Source organism: Homo sapiens, chromosome 7 (genome assembly GCF_000001405.40).
Source record: "Homo sapiens chromosome 7, GRCh38.p14 Primary Assembly".
Taxonomy (NCBI): Eukaryota; Metazoa; Chordata; class Mammalia; order Primates; family Hominidae; genus Homo; species Homo sapiens.
Window position 1 is genome coordinate 140076876 of NC_000007.14, and position 22592 is coordinate 140099467.

Below are 22592 nucleotides of genomic sequence, written 5' to 3' on the forward strand. Positions count from 1 at the left end.
GGTTGCAGTGAGCTGAGATCAGAAGAAGAGAACAGGCAGATCTTCACCTCCCACTGGCAAGAAGAGCTGAGAAGGAACCAGTCTTTGGAGTGCCAAGGTCCCTCCCCTACCCCACAGAGTGGCCAAGATTCACCTTCCTGCCCTCCACCCTCCAACATTATTATTCTTGACTGAGTAGCAGACTTCGGGGAATCACTGGGTGATTGCAGCCGATGATTGAAGGCTGTGTTGTAGAGTGAAATCAGTCCTTCCCAGAAGGGGTTGGTTTTCCTAAGAGGTGGGTGTGGAGATTTTGAGGAGTGGAGGATTTGTGCTGCGTAGTTTCCATCTGCCCCTCTAGGTCCACTTTCCACTGTCCTATAACCTGCTCTGTGCTCCCAGAGGCTGACCTCGATGGATGGGGTCAGAAGCCTCCCCAGCTATCTTCCATGGAGACTCACCCATGCCGGGAGCTGGCAGGTGATCAGAGAGGAGAGTGCGGATGCGCACGCAGATCCCGGGCTTTTCCTTGAGTGGCTGGTCATATCCTTGTGCCAGAGGCCACAGCTCCTGTCTGGAGGCAGCTCCACACAGCTCTTCCTCAGCATTCTGGTAACTTCTCCCTTCCCCAGACTTTCAGTGGGGTAAGGGCTCCTCTTTGCTGCTAACCCCAGGATGCTGCCCCATCTCTTTTTGCTTTCTCCCCTGCTCACTCCATTGTAAATAATCTTTTTTATTATTACTTTTTTTTTTTAATTTTTTTTTAGACGGAGTCGCACTCTGTTGCCCAGGCTGGAGTGCAATGATGCAATCTCGGCTCACTGCAACCTCTGCCTCCTGGGTTCAAGCGATTCTCCTGCCTCAGCCTCCTGAGTAGCTGGGATTACCGGTGCATGCCACTGCGCCTGGCTAATTTTTGTGTTTTTAGTAGAGATGGGGTTTCACCATGTTGGTCAGGCTGGTCTCAAACTCCTGACCTCATGATCCGCCTGCCTAGGCCTACCAAAGTGCTGGGATTACCAGCATGAGCTACCGCACCAGGCCCATTATAAATAATCTTTTTTTTTTTTTGAGACAGAGTCTCGCTCTGTCACCCAGGCTGGAGTGCAGTGGCACGATCTCGGCTCACTGCAAGCTCCACCTCCCGGGTTCACACCATTCTGCTGCCTCAGCCTCCCATGTAGCTGGGACTACAGGCACCCGCCACCACAACCGGCTAATTTTTTGTATTTTTTTTTTTAATGGAGACAGGGTTTCACCTGTTAGCCAGGATGGTCTTGATCTCCTGACCTCGTGATCTGCCTGCCTCGGCCTCCCAAAGTGCTGGGATTACAGGCGTGAGCCACCACGCCCGGCCTGTAAATAATCTTAAACTCCCCAGTCAGGCAGCTGGAGGTGCCATCTGCATCTTCCAGGGTACGCTGGCAGAAAACAGACCGAAAGCAGAGAGAAGGTCCTGAAATGGAAGCAAGGCCAGGGCCTGGGCTGTTCTTAAGCAGGTTCATTTTCCCTTAGACTGGGAGGAATCATCTGATTGAGTGGACAAATTAAACATTTTCTCACAATTCCTTTCAATGCTCAGACCCTTTGGAGAGGCCTGGCGCCCTCACTCTGTGAGAGCACTGTGGGAGCTCTGGGAGGAGCAGGCAGAGAGGTGTGGCCTTTTCCCACCTCTCACCTGCTCTCACCTGAGGCCAGCGAGGCGGCGGAACCACAGACAGACAGCAGTGTCGCAGAACCGTAGGAAGAGACCTGATGTAAAGTGTGTGGTGACCCAGAGAGCAACAGGAAGCAGCTGCCAAGGGGCGACCCTGCAGCAGACATGGGGGAGCGTCTCCACTGCAGACAAACCCCGCAGAGGACAGGGGACGTTGTCTCCACCCCAGATAAACCGCCGCATCATGGCGACAAATATCAAATATTAAACACTTGAACCCAGGAAACGGAGGTTGCAGTGAGCCGAGATGGTGCCACTGTACTCCAGCCTGGGCGACAGAGTGAGACTCTCTCAAAAAAAAAAAAAAAAAAAAATCACTACTACATTTATTACACATGTGCCAGGCACAATGCTAAACTCTGTGGATTATCTCATCTGCTTTTCATGACCACCATTTTTAGTATAAATTACTATTTTATACCTACATCAGAGCTGAAGAAATAAAGACTCACTTAGGAGGGATTAAATAACTTGTCAAGGCCAGCCAGGCATTAGGTTGCTCGAATCTTGTGGCCTCCAAAGTCCAGGCTTTTCAGTCTCTCAAGAATAGAGAAACTAGACAATAAAGTGATTACAGGGTCACCCTTCCTCCCCCTGGAGGCTGCAGGCTGCACGCAGCCATCTGGGATGGGGAGGTGAAGCCTTGTGCCAAGGACGGCAGGCCAGCAGAGGGCAGATCCTGGCCCTGACCCCCTCGGGAAGTGGTCTCAGTCCTGGAACACCTATCTCCTGCCTTCTATCTTGTTTAAGCCATTTGTGTCCTGGGTTTTCTCTCCCTCACAGCTGAATCTACATCTGACTCATTCACCACATTAAGGATTTTGGTCTTGATCCCAAGAGCTCCAGTGAGAGCTGAAGCGAGGCCAGGAGCAGGTGGACTGAGGCACGTGAGGATGAGCCGGCAGGCCTTTGAGAGTCACTGGTTGTGGTGGGAAGAGGGAAGATTTGAGATCACCCAGACTCCTGGCCTGGGCAACTGAAGATTGTCGAGGCCCATTCACAGGGAAGCAAGTTTTGTACTGAAGGGGAGTTGGAACCAGATACCGAGGCGCAAGCTGCGTCCATTCAGGTGGACTGCAGGAACCAAGGCAGGAGTTTGCCTTCTGCTCACCCTGCTTTCTGCCAGGCTTCTCTCCCTAACCAGCCCAGACTCACATCTTTGTCCACTCTGGGGCTGCCTGTGGTCTTACAAGGCAAGCCCTCCTGCACCACTGAGCAACTGCTTTCCTAAGCATCACACCGCTCAGAAGTTAAAGCAGAGCCCAGCAACCATGGAGGGCTTCCTGAGCTCTGAAAATACTGTTCTGTGTCATCTGCAGGTGGCCAAAGTCCTTTCATAACTTGATACCACCTTATTGATCTGTTTTATAGTTTTACACATTAACCATGACTATATTTGATATTTTCAAAGTGAAGCACACCTATATAAAGTTTACAAAGCAAGTACAATAAAATTAAGTTTTAGGTTCTAAGTGAGGTGTATATATTTTTAATCCAGCTCATTCACACAATTGATCTCATTAAAGGAAAATCTACTCCTCCTCCTTTTTCTCATAAAGAAACCTGAAATACTCATTCTTTTTAACACCATATTGGTGAATTTCTACAGTTCTTAATAGTTGGCAGAATCCTCAAATTGTAAAGGGTTCTTTCCCCATTGTTCTCCATTTCTCTTTACTCTCTCTCTTCCACTCCCCCCATCCCATATGGCTGCCAGAGGCAGAGCGAAGAGTGCGCAGGGGTGGGGAAAGGGAGAGAGAGCATGAGGAATACCCATGTTCATGGGTTTACTCAATGTTATTTTGAGATTTGTACTAAAATGTGTGGGAGGTGCTGATGATAAGAGAATACCAATCCTAGCCTTAAACTCAGGCTGGTAGGAAAGACAGACGAAACATGGAAAAGTAACCAAAAAAGTGAAAAGGGTAGGAATAGAAGCCAGACTCGGTAGAGAGCAGCGGAGGAGGGAGCGCTTCGCAGCCAAGCTCCCTGGGATTTACCGTGCCCCATTCACCAGCCCTGACCCACCCCATCCCACTGGGCTGTCAGTGCAACACACCAGGAGCAGGCAGGCTGATTTCTTGCGGGCTGTGCACAGGTATGATGGTGTGATTAGTGTGTCTTGGGCGCAGTTAACACATACCTCACAGTAGAACACATTTGTCTCTCTTAATTCCACAAAAACATAAAAGTAAAATGTGTGAAAATGCCCAGCATCAATTATCTCTCCCTTTTGATTCCCATCCTCCCAGAGGTAACCAGCCACTGTTAACCACCTGGTAGCCTTATTCCAGAAACTGAAAGATACCTCAGGCTCCCTAGCCCATGTCCCAGGATTTCTGCACTTTCCCAGGCTTATGTCTGGACTCTGGCTTCCTTCTCCAGTAGGATTCTGTCCCCTTAGGCAGCCGTGCCCTTTGCTCTCTTGTGGATGCCCTGCCTTTAGTCTAATCGTGTTCACACTCGTCGCAGTAGCTTGAGTAAGTGCATTGGTTGGCAGCTGGTGGAACTCAGATGGCATTCGATACAGCAGCACAGAGAGGAGCTTGATCTGATGGCTAGTAGTTAGCGTCTCCTTGTGCCAGGCACTGTCCTTGAGTGTGCCATATGTTTTCATTTATTTAATCACTCAGTAGCCTAGTGAGGTAGATAAGTATGTCGCAGAAAACTGAGGCACAGCAAGGTTATATAATTTGCCCAGGACCAGTTAGTAAAGGTAGAGCCAGAATTTAACCCACTTGACTCTGACTGCAGTCTGTGTTCCTAGCCCTCGGATTCCATGGAGTCTAACAGGTTAGAATGAAGACTCACAAGATCAAAGGTGATAGGCAGACCCATCCTTAATCTAGTGGGTACCATCTAATCAGCTGCCAGCACAGTTAGAATATAAAGCAGGCAGAAAAACGTTGAATACACTGGCCTGGTCTCCCAGCCTACATCTTTCTCCCATGCTGGATGCTTCCTGCCCTCGAACATCGGACTCCAAGTTCTTCAGTCTTAGAACTCAGACTGGCTCTCCTTGTTCCCCAGCTTGCAGATGGCCTATTGTGGGACCTTGTGATACTGAGTTAATAAATTCCTATCTATCTATCTATCTATCTATCTATCTATCTATCTATCTATCTAATCTATCTCCTATTAGTTCTGTCCCTCTAGAGAACCCTAATACAGGTCCCAAAGGGTAAGAGACAAAAATTTGGGCTGCATGCAGTGGCTCACACCTGTAATTTTAGCACTTTGGAAGGCCAAGGCAGGAGGATTGCTTAGGCCCAGGAGTTCGAGACCAGCCTGGGCAACATTTTTCTTTACAAAAAATTTAAAAATTAGCTGGCTGTGGTGGTGCACGCCTGTGGTCCCAGCATCTTGGGAGACTGAGGTGAGAGGATGGCTTGAGCCCAGGAGGTCGAGGCTGGAGTAAGCCGTGACTGCACCACTGCACTGCTGCCTGGGCAACAGAGTAAGATCCTGTCTCAGGAAAAAAAAAACAAAAATTTGCAAAGATTAGAGGTTGGATGGGAAAACTGCAATTGGAGGTTGTGGTAAGTGGGAGGTGAGAGGATGGTGGTAGGATTGATATATGATGTACGAGACTCCTCCAGGGCACCCAGAAACGGAAGGACAGCTTCTAGAATAAGAGCATAGGAAGCTGGGGGTGGTGACTCACACCTGTAACCCCAGCACTTTGGGAGGCCAAGGCGGGTGGATTGCTTGAGGCAAGGAGCCAGACCAGCCTGGCCAACATGGTGAAACGCCATCTCTACTTAAAAAAAAAAAAACAAAAAAAAAAACAAGAAAAAAAACAGATTAGCCGGGCATGGTGATGCACGCCTGCAGTCCCAGCTACTCGGGAGGCTGAGGCAGGAGAATCACTCGAATCTGGGATGTGGAGGCTGCAGTGAGCCAAGATCGTACCAGCCTGGGCAACAGAGTAAGACTGTGTCTCAAATAAATAAATAAATATGCATAGGAGAGGGTCAAATACTATTTCTTACTGTTATTGCAAGTCTTTTGTCCCAGGTCATATTTGCCTTAAAAAAAAAAAAGTAGGGAATTTACACATATTACTTTCCACTTGTAGATCCTTCTTTTTTTTTTTTTTCCTCAACTCTGGCATAGGATTTATGTAAACTTTTGATTTTATAAAATTTCAGAACTAGCACTTTACAAAGTGTAAAGGCATTTTGGAGACACAGGCTGGGAAGAGTCTGGACAAGGCAAGGAGAGACTTGAGCCCAGGAGTGGATCAAGAGGAAGATGTGGATGGTGCTTCTGCAAGGCACGGGTAGGCAGCACCCCAGGATCAGCGATGGTGGGCAGAGCAGGACCTTTTCCTCTCCTCCTTATCTGGGTTGACCACCTACAGAGCTGGGGCAGAAGATAGGGCAGGATGTGGCTTCGGTGTCCAGGGCAGGAGAGGAGGGAGCAGCCCGGGTGGGCAAGGCTGTGAAGGAGGCTGCTGCGCTGCCCCACGGGGCCATGGTTAGGTCCAGCAGAAAGGGCGGAAGGGGTGCACTGGGCATGGCCTCTACTCATATGCCAGCTCTGAGCCTCTGGAAATCCACATTTGGTTCCTGTATCCTAACAGCACTTCTCACATGTCATTTATTTACAGCCTATGTTATTCACTAGAAGGTGAGCTCAATTCTAGAAGATGTTTCTTCAGTGTGCCCAGCTCCTGGAAAAGTGGACTCAAGAGAGGTTCTGGTGACAAAAAACCTCCACAAGAAACTACAGTTTCAATCCACAGTGGGTTGCGCCTGCAAAGAAATTTTTACAACACCAACCATTCCTAAGGACCATCTATTCCTTCCTTAATTAAAAGTATATAGTTAAAAATACTTAGAGAAACAGCTTAGAATAGTCTTTAGAGTCAGACAGACTGAAAATGTCTGTATTCATGTGAACCTGGAAGTGTCATTGGCCCTCTCTGAGCCTTGGATGCATCTGTAGGATGAGGAATGTAGTACCTACCTCGCTGGGTTATTTTGAGAAAGAAATAAAAATATCCTTGCACACAGTAAGTACTCAAATGGAATGAAATAAAAGATAGTAAGGGCTCCTGTTTCAAATCCTGTCTGTAACATAGCATTTGATCCTTCCTACTGTAAAATAATTGGCATTTATCATCAACATCCCACAGTGATGTGTCTCATGCTGTCTCACTGTTGTGAAACCACAAAAATCAGCTGAAAAGTCTAAGAAGAGTAGGTCCTGATCATTGTTTCATTAACGTATGAGCTTTGGGAAGGGCAGACAACCCACAAATTTACAAATAGTATATGGATTTTCACAAAACAAGCAGATTTGTTCAGATTTAGATTTCAACCAATTTCATGAAAGCAGACACAGGAGATGCAAACTGCTTTTGTGGATTCCGTTCTAGGGGCGGAAGCAGCTCTCAAGGTGTGTTTAAGTGTGCATGCTTTGGCGTCCCTGTTCTTTTGCAGATATTAGGGGGAGGGAGGGTATGGTCTTTGGTCCTTCTGGTCACTTGGTTTCTGGGACTCTGAGCTCAGTTTCTCCTCGGGAACAGACTTCCTGCCCACTTGTCTCCTTCCTAGGCTTCTCTTCTGCCCTGGAAGTGATGCCTGCAGGGCTCCTTCCTTCCTGGTCCAGAGTTCCTCTCTCATCTCCTCTAAGGACAGATCTTTTTCCTGGTCCGTATCATCCCTGTCTCTCAGACCCTGAGTCCAAAACTGAGCTCATCTTCCTCACGGAGTGTGCACTTAACACTCTCACCTTCACCAGCCAGCCAGGCCACCACACCCCTGGCTCTCACTTGCCTTTTGTGTCTCACACAAGCTCCTTGAGGCCTGGGACTTGGTTTTGCTCACTCCTGCAGCACTAGTGCTAAAACAGTGCCTACTGTACTGCAGGTGTTAGGAAATATTTGTGGGATGCCTGGGCAGGGGCTGTGAGTGTGCTGAAATGTTCATTAGCCAAGTACCCACATCCGTTTCTACGTTTCAGCCTCATGTTGCCAATTACACTTTTGTATTCTTCCCTCTCTTTGAGCAATCACTCATCCCCAGCAATACTGCTAATAAAATAAGACAATTACTTTTCACATTGAAGTCTTCAGAAGTAGTAAGGAGCAGACGCTGAACCCAGTTTTTCATACTTTTAAATAATTTCCCATGATTCAATCAGCAGAAAAAGGGAACAAAGTCAGAATTGGATATAGAATTCAGATTCTTTTTCTTTCAAGGACGCATTTTATACAATTTTCAACATTTATACTTTCAAACAAAATGAGCAAAAAATACACTAAGTGCTAAAAAAATCAAAACAGAAGTAATACAATTTTAATTTCAATATTTTAAAATACAGAAATTGGAAAGAATACTAAATACAACTTTAAACAAGTCACTTGTCCTCCCCTATAATAATCAATGTAAGCTACTTAAAGACTTACAAATTTAAAGTAAAACAGAAACAAAATAAATACTGTACACTTTCCCTGCCTGCAGGCAAAAGATGGGAAATACTGTTATGAATCAGCAAAGAAATGCTCTTCAAGCTTCAGCACCCCACCTCCCAGCCACACCCCACGCCATTGTCACACAGTGGGCTTCCGGACTGAAAGGACACACATGTCACACACATTGACTGCCTATACAAACAAGACGAGACGCTATTCCGCAGACACCCCCAACAAGAAGAACAGTCCCCTCGGACCGTGGGCATAAAAACCAGTAAGAAAAGTCAGTCAGGCTAGCAAAACGTTACTACAAAACTAGTAAATACCAGAGCCAACAACTGTCCCCTCTCCAAAGTTCACAGATTTGAAACCTCTAAAACCAATACTACCCCTCCCCATCACCCCCCAAAAAAACTTGCTGAAGCACTGGCAAAGTTAGACATTTCACAGTAAATGTGAAAGTTCATATTATATAATCTCTTAAAATGAACCTTTTCACCCTCTTTCCACAGCATGAAACTGTTATGGCTTAATTTATATTAAAAGTAGAAAAGTCTTTTCTGAAGGAAATACCATCTGCGAAGATGCATTTCCTGATCAGTGCTATTTCATACCTAACAACTGTATGACTTGCTTTTGCAGTCAGAAGCTGTTTTTGGAAAAATTGAGGTTATAGCTTTTGATTCAGTCTAACCATAAACTGTAAGGCCCTTAGTTTGGTTTAGGTTTCTTTTGCAAGATAAAATAACCTTGGGGTTCACTTAGTAAGTTACACCTCAGGTCCCTGACTGTAATGTGGAAGTTATACGTAGCTCTGTAAAAATAAAAGGTTACTTATGAATCTTAAAAGGAAGAAATAGTTCTAGGTAAGGAATTAACTCCTCATTATATTTTACATTTAATGCTGGTAAGTTTTACCAACCAAAATACACCAAAGAAATATGAGAGTATGTCTGGGTTATTTTATGCCTGCAAAGTATTATATATTCCAGCACTTATGATCATTGTTTTGGTGAAAAATCTTGGAGGAAAACAGCTGACATTTTGAAAAAGAAATGGCCAAAATGAAACTGGTTGGAGACAAGTTTTACCTTTATAATTAAGCTCCATTTATGACTACTTTCTGAAAGAAAGAGAAGTGAATTCAGAGTGTCACAGGTCTTGCATAGGTAAACTACTTGGAGATCAAGGGCTACGTGGTAGCCAGGGTTTATTAGTGAAATAGTGCAGAGCAGATAAACTTGGAAGAATCACTGAATACAGTTTCGAAAGGTTTTAACAACAAAATGTAATGTTATACTTGTTAAGACAAAGTCTTAAGACACTAGAAGGGGCACCAGGGGGAAGGGGAGAACCTAAGGATATTGCAAAAGAGTATTATTTTCTCCTCTCAGTTAAAATGAGGAAAAAAATACTATAGAAGAATAAAATCACAGTCACAACAAGCTCATTGCTTTGGAAATAGACATTTGCTTCCTAATGACCTTAATTTTTAAAATTTATGTTAAGGATATCAAATATTTGACTTTACAGCATGAAAAAGAGGGAAGGGCTTCTAGGAAGGCTACAGTATTAAGATTACATTACGTTCAACAGCAACAGAATGAGAAAATTAATTCTTCCCCTTTCTTTCCACCTGGTTTCAAGGAAGCACATGAACATCATCTCATAGGGCAAGCCGAAAACTGGGGGCTGTTTTAGGAAGCAAAGTATCAGAGGCCCCAGATCCACTGTGTCTCCCCACGCAAATCACTGTCCACTCTGGGTTACCTGTGTCTCCTTTATTTACCAGCGACACTCTGTCTAGGCTAAAGATCTGATGATCCAGCTTCCCAAGACTGCTTTAGAGGAAGGTCTAGGACACCACCAAGACTGGTGAGCTCTAGCTTCTCTTTATGTGGCGAGCAATTAACAATATTTAATGAGAAAAATGAATTTTTGATAATTATGCCTAGCAGTAGCATACTGGGTCACATGATATTCCAATCAACTCTATCTATAGTCTTACTGCTGCAGAGAGCATCTTTTGAAAAAGGCAGAAAGAATCTTGTCTGTTGAAGATGTCTGGTGGCGTCTCCTTTCCTACACTGGTTTCTTTCTACCAAGCAAACTGTTGGTACCCAACCCAGAGCTGTCTTTGTGCATTCTCACCTTTCTAACCACCTCATTCTCCCCACAAGTTCCCTGGGGAGTTGCTAAGTCATTTTAATTCCATGACTTCCTTCACCTTTATCTAGTACCTGAAGAGTATGCTGAATCTGTGGGGATGGTACTTTCCTAATTCTTCAAGAAAAACCTAAAGCCATCTTTCAGTTAAATCATCTTAACGTACTTGAGGATACACATTCTCACTCTCTTATCCATAAACAACTTCATTTTTCTTCCACTTCAAGCACGAAATCTGATTTTAATCCAGCACCTTGTTGGAGATTCCTCGGATTTTTAAAGTAGCATGCCCTGGGCATATATTTGATATAAAATAAACATCATGAATAGTATTAGTTTTCATTTAAAAATATATATAAAGGTGCATTAATTGCCAGTTTTAACTTAATGATAAGTTCTCTGTATGTATGAAGTGTTAAGAGATTTTCTTAATTGATTATCATAATAAACACTTTAATCCAAATTTACAAATGAGAAAACTAAGAGAAAGAGTTAAGTGACTTATTCAAGGTTACACAGCTGATACCTAAATGGCAGAACTTCGACAAAAGCCCAGGTCTTCTGCTTCCTTGCATGCTACACCAAGTCCCTGTATGACCATATTAATTACCAAGTTGAAGCATTTCTTTAATTGTGAAATTACTTTCACTTCTACAGTGGCATATCTCAGTTGAAACTAAAAAAGTCAGCATGTTTTTTAATGAACAGGTCCTCTTTTGCTCATGTTTGCTTAGAAGTGAAAATAATACTGCTAATTTCCTGGAGAAGATACCTTCAAGGGCAGAGACCACAACTGCAAATTGATGTTCCCCAACAGTACTAGGTAGTGCTGGGCACACAGTAGATGTTTGATAAATACCTGTTGATCCCATATAAATAAATACAGTAGACTATAATTGAAAAGGCAATAATTAGGATTATTTAAAAATAGAAAAGTATTCAAGCTAAGTAATTAGTGATAAAGATGGGCTTGTTTCCTCTGAGTTTATGATTTCAGTCAGAATCTTCAATTCTGTATGCTTAAAAATGAACTGATACTTATGAAGTTCAATGTATTTCTAGGATACTGAACTACTACAAACTGCCAACTTTATATTGTTTACATCACTCATCAATATTGAAAAGCATAATATTATGTGACATTGTAAATTATAATCCAATGGATCCCAGCTGAACAGTCACTTATTTGAAACAATACAGGAAAATTATCATCTATTCCTATTACTAAAGTTGCATATGTTAATCATAATTCTCAATTTTACATATTTGTATTTGGTTACAACTAGCTAAATGCTATCAGTGCTGTCTTCCTAAGTTGCTGTGTCTGTATGGTATAAATGAGGTTCTCTATTACTGTTAAGCCCAGGTACTCGCAGCAGCTACCACAAAGTTCAGCCATTTCCATGAGATAAAGGGATGCATTATGGCCAGTAATGTTATAAGACGTTTGACCAGGAGTCACTGGATCAGTGGCCGAATTTTCACCAATTCAGAAAAAGACACATGGATTCTATTCAAGTGGTTCTATTACCTCGCTGAAAGTTTTCTAACTTAGCCACTTATTAAGGGGCTAAAACTACTAAAAATGAATCCACAGTACCTTCACTTTAGAATTCCACACACGGGCTACTCCAAATTAGTACTTCTCAGCCTAAGGACACAGTGGATACTGGCCACAATTTTAATTCATAAAAATAAATTAAATTTCATTTTAATTCATAAAAATAAAGTTTAATTTTAATTTTTGTGACTAAAGAAAAAAATAGAAAATACTCAAGAGCTGTGAAAAACGTAAAGGAAAAAAGAAAACCCAGATCATGATATAACACGAAAAGGAAATTATAGCTCTTACACCTCGTATTTCTTAACCCAAAATAAAAACATGACTATTGTAACACCGACTCAGGATCTACAGAAAAGCAAAAATCACAAGAATATACTGTGTGGGAAGGTAGGGGAATCAGTCAAACCCAGATTTTTGACATCCTGAGATAAGATGACTCTACCCATCTTTCCACTGGTTTTGGCATAGTGTAGACAGGGTTTACACGGGTTGTTTATAGACACTAAGGATTTCCATAAAAATTCTTTTTCCTGATACCCAGATAAGATTCAGACTTTGGTCCAGTCACTCTGAACCAGAAAGGCTACTTCATAAACTATTTCATATTTATCCCATGACATTTTGGAATGGGGACACAAGAAGTATTTCTCTTTGAAAATATACATTTGAATGCAACCATGAAAGATGATGGTACAGACTTTTTTCTTCTTAGCAATTCAAGTGATACTTAATAGAGAAGGGTAAGTCCTGCTATCTTGCTGAGTAAAAAAAAGACAAATCCATAATATGGCCATATTTCTTCTCCATAAAAATAAATTTTATCTATTTGCCTATATTTTCTTTGTAGGAATTTGTAAAATGCTCTATTGTCAGACTTGGGAACATTTCTGCCCCACCCCCAGAAATCACTTATTTTTATGCCATGGATGGAAAAAAGGGAAAATAGAAGCTACTATAAGCAAATGAAAACTGGCATTTAGTAAAAATCATACATAAAGGAGATAAATGAATACCTTAAAGTTTAACCAGATACTTAACCTCAATATGTACTGGTCAGGTTAGGATAGATGGAAGAAACTGCCAAAAGCACCCATTTTACTCCAAATCCATATCTTAAGTAATTCTTTAGAAAATTAAGAAATAAAAAAAGTAAATACACACAAAAGATCTATTCCAACATGCTTGCTTCTATACAACTTAATGTAGTATTAATCCTATTATATTACGGCTTATGATGCAGATTTGAATATCCTAAATAACATTTCCCAACAAATCAGGTATGGAGCATAAAAGTATCATAAGGTATAACCTCTGCAGCAGGTGCCAGTCCTGTTGTCCAACAGCAGCAGTACGAAGAAGGCCTGCTGTAGTTACAAATGTACTTGGAAAAACTATAAACATGACAATTTAACCAAACTTATAATACTTTTCCCACAAGTAGGAAAAATATATTAAAGCTGCTCTCTTTGGGACCCAGATATCATCAGCAGAAATGAAAATGCAAAAGCCTATTTTTTTTAATGTTGAGAAGAAAATCACAATGTCAAACGAAATGAGAAATGAGGGATCTTTCATGGAGTTCTTACACATTGGCTACGAAAGTGTTTCCCTGCAAAGAGAAGAGTCTTACTGGGTCATCACAAAATGATGGGGAGTGCAGAGGGAAGGTGGGATATAAGGTAATCAACCTGGATAACAGTATGCACCTTGGATGTTAGCAAAAGCGAAGCTAATAGCTTATAAAAAACACATGAAATATATAAAATAAAATGATTTTCATATACATCTTAATTTAAAATAATTAATGCATCAAATCCCTGTTTAAGACTTTAACCTGAATATCAAATTTAAGAGTCCAGACTAGTTACTGTTACTGTGGCCCTTCCCCACATGTAACACACACACTATCAAAAATAATTTAAAAACCTTCACATTCTTACATCTAAATTAGTGAGATATTTCTCCAGAAATCTTCCAAATAAATAGCTTTAAAAAAAGAATTTAAAAGCTGTTAACTTTAAAAAAAAATCTGTTAAATAAATTATTGATAATTCTTTACCCTACCACTGAAAATACATCAAGACACTACCAACAACAAAATAAAATTCAAGCCCTGACAAGAGACCCTTTCCAGTTCAAGGTCTCTTTTTAAGGTTCTACCCTCCTTCTTCCTCTCCCCCACCAGGTCCAAAATGGTTATTGCTGAGTGGGTGTGGCACAGTGAAAATGCAGCATCAGGTTCATTCTGTTCTTCGGGCAGTGTTCTTACTATACACACAAACTGCTCCAGGCAGGGGGACAGCGGAAGCTCCAGGCTCCTGCACCCCTAGACTGGTCTCCAAAGGGAAGAATGGCTGCAACAGCAGCTCTGTCACACAAAGAAACGTGCATGGCCATTTCTGTTCAACTTAAGGATCTTCCCAAGACGTTGTTTGGCTGTTGCCATTCCTTTTTTTGGACGTTTACCTATAAAACACCAAAAGGGAGTGTAAGTAATGATGAAAAGTACACTTAAGAGAGCACCTGGAAGACTACGGGGAGAGCTTTCTTTATGGGAAGTAAGCCCTTAGGTGTTCTGCATGGACAGAGTCATACTTCTGAACTTCCGCTGTTTAAAACCCTTCCACCTCATCACACTAGGCCCTCACAAGACTCACAAGGCTTCCCACAGTCTGGTCTGCCTGCTCTTCAGCCTGGGCTCTTCCCTATCCTGCATTACACTATGCTTAGGCAACAAAACTGACTACCATTTCACAAATACCCCATATCCTGCTTCTCCCCTTTGTGCCCTGCCTCAGGCTCAATCCTCTGCCTTCAAAGCTGTCTATTCTGTCACTTTCCCCAATTCAGCCTGGCTAACCCCTGAACATCTGATTTTAGGATCTGTCTCTCGCTCCTCAGAGCTGACTTGGGTATCCTTTTTCTTTGTTCCTGTAGTAGCCTGTGTATACTGCCATCACTATGCTGTCTACTATGCATGAGATGTTGAACAACTTGAGTGCAGAGACTACACCTCAACTGCCATGATGACCATCACATACAGTCAGAAATATACTTTCTCTATACATGTGTGAAAGTTACCTTTTGTTGCCTGGTTGCTGATAGGTGGTGGATTTGATGCCGGTCTCTTGGTGGGGTGAAGGGGCACCGAGAAGGAAGTTTCACCAACTGGCCTTTCTGGGCTTAGACTGCCATTACTTATCTGGCACGCCCCCGAAGTCAGGTTTGAATTCTGCATATACTTTCCATTCTGAAGGCTTGAGCCGCTGCTGTCCACATAATTCCTACTTTGTACCCTCTGACTAATTTCTGATGAACCTTCCTTTCTGATGCATTTCTGGCTTCTACTTAGATCCTGAAGGAGGAGGAAGGACATGAGGCTGAATTTTTAGGGTTTAAATGAGGTATTTAAGCTCTCTATGCATTGGCAAAGTCAAGTGAGAGAAGAAACAAACTACTGAATTCTGATTTTCTTAACATCTATTAGCCACGGATGACCACTCCTGCATGATGTCGTCTCAGTAGCTCTGAAGGACTCGGGTCTTTAAGTTGCATCGTTAAGTTAAGAAGGCGAAAGAGAGAGTGAGAGAAAACAACGTAAACAGGCACCACGCCCTACTTGCTACTCAGCTCAGTGAGCACATGCCAACGCAGGGACCCTGAGCTGGGGGAATGGATCGATCTCCCACTTCCCTGGCAAGTCACAGCTCCCTTGGACCTCTCATGTGTCATGTTCTTTTCTAGAGTCTATCTTCTATCAGGTTCATCTCCACTGTATTTTTTTGCTAGGAAATCCTTAGATCCAGAGTGCCAAGCTTGGTGTTTTCCTTTCACTACAACTACTCTTTCAGTCTCTTAAGACTATCGAGTAAACTTTCAGGGGGCAAAAAAAACGCTACTGATTGATGAGTCTTGAAATTAACTGAGAGGGTTATAACCAGCACTAAAAAGAGAAAGGAACAGACTAGATGTGAACAGAGTACACTATAGTGTGAATGTTTCATGAAACCAGTTTTCATTATGCTAATCATCCATCCTCTATGTCTTCATTTATTTTCAAAAACAATTATAAAAAGAACAGCCAGATTTAAATAATAGCTCAAATTACATAATGAATCCTATAGTGCTAGTAAGTGATAAACTTTATGACCAGCTACAGTGAGGCACTATAAAATCATACACCGAAAAGTAAATTATAATGAGATTTCTTATGACCTTTGACTCTGGAATGTATCCTTCTAGTCAAAGAACGTATACTCACAAAGCCTTCCTTTAAAAAAAAAACTTGCTTCTTTTTCTTATGCAAGTAATTGCTTAAATATTTAGAAAATATAGACAAGCCAAATTTAAAAAATTAATAAAAACCACCCATAATTCTACTACTCAGAGATTAATGATGTTCCATATTTAGGGGTAGAGTCTTTTCTGTCTATATACACGGGTGTCTCCTCCTCCAGGGATTTTAATCCATTCCTCCAGTCACCTCAGGGCTCTGGAAGATGGCAAAACCCAGGAGGCCTTTTTCACTTCTGCTGAGGTCTTTCGGTGCCATGTGAAAGCTTTATTCATAAGAGATTTTTCCCTTCACTTCTTAAACAGTCGACTCATGTTCCCCTCTGTCTCCTCTTCCCTCCTTCCCTTCTCCCCCACAAATGTTTCTTCACTCAGAGGAGAACTAGAGGCAATATTTCTGCCTTTGCTGATTTACTTTCTTTCTTATGTGTGCTTGGGGTAGAGAGGTTTGGGGCCCCACAGTGCCACATGAGAACTTTGATTCTTTCTTTGGCTGCCATTTTCCAAGGTTTGCAAAAAAAGGTTGTATCACTTCTCTTGTTTGGTGCTGCTGATAAAGTTTTAGTTTTTTCAAAACTGCTATTTTGGGTTCATTTGATAATGTAAGCAAAAGTTGTGTTTATCATGAATGTATTTTCTAGAAAGACAATCTGTAACTTTCATCAAATGCTCAAAGAAATTCAGTATCCAAAACCGTTCAAGAAACAGCATCAGAGATTAAAAAGATATGATATTCATCTTTTCCTTGAATATTTCATTCTAACCAGATATAACCTACATGGGTTGGCAGCCAGTGGTTTAACTGCTTCCTTGAATAAATTATTCTTTTCCAGATCACATTCTATCCATGAGCCTTATGTTAGTTATCATTTCGGCATCTCTCAAAATGGACAGTTGTTCAAATGTGCATTTAACTGTAATTTTCTGGCTGCCTAGATCTAGCAGTTGATAACTGGTTGTTACAGTTTTAAAAAAGAAAGCAAAAACAACGTTAATGATCATTTTAAATCTCCTTTTAACGTTTCAAACTTTGAATATACCTGAGGATGAAATCTGGAAGTATCAAACTGTTTAATCCAGGAGGAAGTCCTCAAGTCTGGATCTTCAGTCTTGACATGGTATCCTAAAGAGAAGTTTTAGTTTAATTAACTTTGCACAAACTTGATTTGAAATGACAAAATTAGCCTAATGCTTAAAAATGAAAGCAGGTTGGGCGTGATGGCTCACGCCTGTAATCCCAACACTTTGGGAGGCCAAGGCAGGTCAATCACTTGAAGTCAGGAGTTCGAGACCAGCCTGGCCAACATGGTGAAACCCCGTCTCTATTAAAAATACAAAAATTAGTTGGGTATGGTGGCGGACGCCTGTAATCTCAGCTACTTGGGAGGCCGAGGCACGAGAATCACTTGAACCCGAGAGGTGGAGGTTGCAGTGAGTTGAGATCATGCCACTGCATTCCAGCCTAGGCAACAGAGTGAGACTCCATCTTGGGGGAAAAAAAAAAAAGCAAGCAAATTTATGTTGACATTGTATTTAAAAACACATTAACTCTTTAGATACTCATTTGCATACCTTTACCTTCACTATATGCCTTTCCCTCAAAAACAAAAAGTCACCAATTCATAACCTATTATGCTAATTCTTTTGATTCTCTCAAAGACTGTCTTCATTTATTCATTCATTCTCTAGTCAAGTGAAGCAGTGAGATGGAGAAGAAACAAAGAAATCTGTAATTGTTTGTGATCAAATAGTTATAAACACCATACTCAGACCAGCCTCAAAGACTGTCTTTATATGATGGGTTTTGGGCTAGATGCTGGAAGATCTACAATCAAATTCTTTTTCTTTTGAGATGGAATTTCCCTCTTGTTGCCCAGGCTGGAGTGCAATGTCGCAATCTCAGCTCACCGCAACCTCCGCCTCCCAGGTTCAAGCGATTCTCCTGCCTCAGCCTCCCAAGTAGCTAGGATTACAGGCATGCGCCACCACGCCCGGCTAATTTTTGTATTTTTACTAGAGATGGGGTTTCTCCATGTTGGTCAGGCTGGTCTTGAACTTCCAACCTCAGGTGATCCGCCCACCTCGGCCTCCCAAAGTGCTGGGATTACTGGCGTGAACCACTGCGCCCAGTGATCTAGAATCAAATTCCATGGCCGCCTATTGTATATGTAAAACCAATGCAATAATTCTCTATAAAAATGGTATATTTTTCCACATAGAATAAAGGCAGGTATTTGCCTGAATTTTGCAGTATTTCCATAGAAGTGTTCTCTTTCAAGGGACTAAAGGAAGACAAAATGGTGCAGTACAAAAAGAGACAAACCCAGATTTGAATTTGAGTTCTTCCATTACCAACGCAACTTTAGGCAACTTATTTATCCTCTCCAAACTTCAATTTCCTCTTATACAATAAGCAAAGACTTTGAGATCAGATGGTCCTGGCTTCAAATTCCAATACCACTGAATAATAGTTACATGAAGTACAGACAAGTTAAATTAGTTTTACTAAGTCTTATTTCCTTTACCTGTAAAATGGGAGTGATTTTACCTACAAGTATTGTTTTAAGAATTAAGTGAAATAACCAGGCATGGTGGCTCACACCTGTAATCTCAGCACTTTGGGAAGCAGAGGCAGGAGGATCACTTGAGCTCAGGAGTTGGAGACCAGTCTGGGCAACATAGGTGAGACCTCGTCTCTACAAAAAATAAAAAAATTAGCCAGGTGTGGTGACATGCATCTATAGTTCCAGCTACTTGGGAGGCTGAGACAGGAAGATTGCTTGAGGCCTGGAGGTTGAGGTTACAGTGAGCCATATTTGTGCCACTACATTCCAGCCTGGGCAGCAGAGTGAGACAGTCTCAAAATAAATAAATAAATAAATAATAAAAAAAATTATTTCAGTGAAATGGATGTCAAGCTCCTGGTATACAATTGATAATTATGTAGGATCAAACATATTTATTATATAGGCATTCAATTTTAATATAGTACTATCTTCTCCCCGGTCCTCCTCAGGCTTTTTGGGATACAAACATTTTCTCTAAAGGCACAAGGAAGAAAACACTATGTGGCATGCCTAACACTGCCACTGAGTCTACCCTCTTTTCCTAATACTTTCTTTTCAAGTAGGAGAAGGAATAGCCTCAATCAGAAAGAAACAGTTTAAAACTTATTTTTCCTCTCATAAAAGGAAAAAGGGCTGATTGTTCAAGCTTAGTTGGCCATTTAAGGCACCAAAACACTCCTTCCACTCTGATCAACCTGTCTGTAAAAGGGAAATAATACTAACTGGCTTGCAATAACAATGGTAGAATGATGCTAGTGAACACAATTGTCAATCCCAGGTAATTTACATTTTGAGTTCTTCTGCTTCCATCTTACGTGATATGTCAGCATTGTGCTTTTTTTGGTCAACCTTCTTAACACATTTCCAATTAAAGATGCTTATTCATAATCTCTAACCTAAATGAGGATTATTGAGCCATTAAGTTGGGCAACATATGTTACTTTTTAGAGACTGATAATTTATGTTTCTTACCACATTCCACTGGTTTATCATAGCGATACAACTGCCTAACCTCATGGTTACTGCCATGGCAGCTGCTGGGATCCTGGAGAGAGTTTCTTTCACCACTGCAGTCTGTGCTTTGTATTTGCCTTTGTAAACACGTGGAATAGTGCAACCCTGCCATAGACAGCATGCCCTGAATAGCTTCTTCCTCTGTGCTCGTCGAGGTAGGACATTCCCTAAAGAAGAGATGATCCAAAAACACAAGAGTCTATTTTTTCTGATGACATTTTTGGTAAAATTTAAAACTAAAAAAAGTGTTCATAGTATTTACCTTACAATATAATAAGACTTACTACTATCAGCAAGCCTACCTTTTAATTGGAATTTCACTTCTAGATGGCTTCTGGCTCTTTTGAAGGAAGTTCCTCATCACATTAGATTCCTCCTTAAAGTTGGATGTTATTTCTTGTTTCTTTTCATCACCTGAACTTTCAGACTCTTCAGTGGTAAAGATACTTTTCTGAGATGATAATTACATGGAAACAAAGCTACATAAGAAATTGACCAAGTCTGTACAAATGAATCCGAAAAGATTTTATACATCTAGAGAAAGTCAGAATCTTAATTATCAGGGAATTATTTCTGTAATTCACATGAAAAAAATGATAATCTCTATTAACTACATGAACATACTACCTTGATTAAAAAAATACACAGTATAGGCTTTCTTTAAGGTAAAATAAAATATAATCCATGAGAAATATGAAACAAGAATAGTATAAGCAAAGGAGTCTCTCCCTCTACCCTTTCCAAAATCAGACAAAAGCTCTATGTCTCAAATGTGAATGGTCACATGATGGCATGTGTGTACACTGACCACCACAGAAGACCCTGTGCTAATGTAAGTCAGACAGACAAGCTTTGAGAAAAGCTGTCATTTGCCTTGCTTCCAGGAGAAGTTACGTGGTGCTCATCTTTCCATCAAATAACGTACAAGCCATGGGGTCTCAGGCGTACCAGTGCAGTGCACTCGGGTCCGGAGTCTTCTGACTCAGAAATATCAGAATATCCTGATGATCTACTCCTGAGTTCTGATTTCACACGTGTAAAAAACCCTGAAAAAGAATGAAAGGATGAGAAAAAGAGAAAGTCATTTGACTACGATGAACAAGGTGACAAGATGGTATCTAAAGTCCACCCAGCTTGTGATGTCTCTCAATCTCTCTTGCTCTACCCTCCTTTTTCACTTTTATTTTCTTCATTTCTTTCTCCCCTTAAGGTCTTTCTCCCTAATTGGCCAAGACACAGACTGAAGTATATTCTCAAATATTAAGTGTGGTATTTCCATAATTATATATTCCTTACTTGGATGGATTGACTGTTTTGTATTTCTTTCCAGAAGAAAAATGCTGAAACTAAAATTAGCTATCAGATGCTTTTCACACTTCTCCTTTTGCATTAGTTGTATCATTAGAAAACAAAAAGATAACCTTCCCAAACGTAAAACGCATTCACGTAGATAGTGAATTCAACACGCTTATAAACTGGGTTCTTTCATGAGTCACTAACATATAGCAATGGTTTGATGGATTCCTGTTGATTAGCACCTGGTGTGTGCAAAGACAGAGTCACCAACTACAGCAGTGCCAATTTCACTCAGATTAGCAGGAACTGGGGTGTTCAACATGGATTAAATAATGTTAGTTATCTGAAACATTTATTTGTCAAGTACCAAAGTATATATTTGAACTACTTTTTAAAATAGAAAGGAATACAGAGATCCTGAAATATATTGAGAAACTAAGGCTTAATTCAAAGAAGAAAGACCTTAAGGAGAAGGAGGTGTTACTATTTTGCCATACTGATGATAACCAATTAATAACCCAGTAGAGGCCTTCTTGTCAACAGGTAATCAATTAAAACCACAATGCATGGATTACTAACAGCTTCAGATTAGCTAATCATATATACTTCCTAATTCTGAAAACCATACACATGGTAGCTGAACTTACATATAAAATTAAACGAAACTTGAAACTTTTATTTTGGGGAGTAGAGGCCTATAACATGCATGAGCTTTCAAGTGACTCTTTAAAAACTGACTAGATGAGTGCAGCTCTAACCCACAAACATCCCCTCACTGAGAACACCGCCCCTGGCCACTGGGCGTATACCTCACTGGGCATTCACGTTCAGCACTTCTCTCATACTTCAGATTTTTCAAGACAGTTTTAGGGACACAAAAGTTTTCTGCTATTTTAAACTTAAGAACTTCAAAATTAGCAAGTTACTTTACATATTATCACATTAGTAATCAAAAGATCTTTAAAATAACCATTAAAAAAACATACCATTCAGTGGTTTTTGAGATTCTTCATGTTCCACTCCCTCTACTCCTGAACTCTCTTCTATCTTCATTTTTGCCTTTTTTGTCCTTCTTTTATCCTCTTCATTTTCACTATCTGCTGTATAAAGACTTTGATCTGCAAAGGGCTGCCTTTCATCTCTGTATTAAGAAGGAAAAGTAATCAGAATATAGTGCAAGACTCTGTAGCCAAACAGTATTTATTCCCCTCTCCCTTAATTTACAAAGAGTAGAGAATTGAGACACTGTCCCCATATTTCATTCAACTGTGCAATAGTATGCGCTAGGGATCTGAGGTTCGTTTTTTGTTTTTGTTTTTTGAGACAGGGTCTTGCTCTGTTGCCCTGGCTGGAGTGCAGTGGCACAATCATAGCTCACTGTAAGTTTGAACTCCTGGGCTCAAGCGATCCTCTCACCTCAGTTTCTCAAGTAGCCAGGACTACAGGCATGGCCACCACACCCAGCTAATTTATTTTTATTTTTTTGTAGAGATGGAGTCTTGCTAAGTTGCCCAAGCTAGTTTTAAACTCCTGGTCTCAAGAGATCCTCCCACCTCAGACTCCCAAATCAACTTG

At 41.2% G+C, this 22592-nt stretch overlaps 1 protein-coding gene and 1 long non-coding RNA gene across 4 annotated transcripts in view; one reads left to right on the forward strand and one right to left on the reverse strand.

The window, feature by feature from the left end:
• The first annotated feature begins 5921 nt into the window (after window positions 1-5921).
• On the forward strand, window positions 5922-6713 carry LOC124901757 (uncharacterized). Its single transcript, XR_007060559.1, has 2 exons — window positions 5922-5978; window positions 6309-6713. It is a non-coding gene; the product is annotated as an uncharacterized LOC124901757 (long non-coding RNA).
• A 1157-nt stretch (window positions 6714-7870) lies between these two features.
• KDM7A (lysine demethylase 7A) overlaps window positions 7871-22592 on the reverse strand; it is a 92238-nt gene continuing 77516 nt past the window's right edge. For 2 of the 3 annotated variants that reach the window (NM_030647.2, XM_011516587.3), the window contains 7 exons: window positions 22004-22158; window positions 20670-20767; window positions 20024-20172; window positions 19680-19888; window positions 17181-17263; window positions 14929-15202; window positions 7871-14313 (listed from right to left, as the gene is read on the reverse strand). In NM_030647.2, the coding sequence (NP_085150.1) occupies window positions 14219-14313; window positions 14929-15202; window positions 17181-17263; window positions 19680-19888; window positions 20024-20172; window positions 20670-20767; window positions 22004-22158 (1063 nt within the window). In that variant the 3' untranslated portion in view covers window positions 7871-14218. The other variant, XM_047420879.1, reaches the window with a different exon arrangement.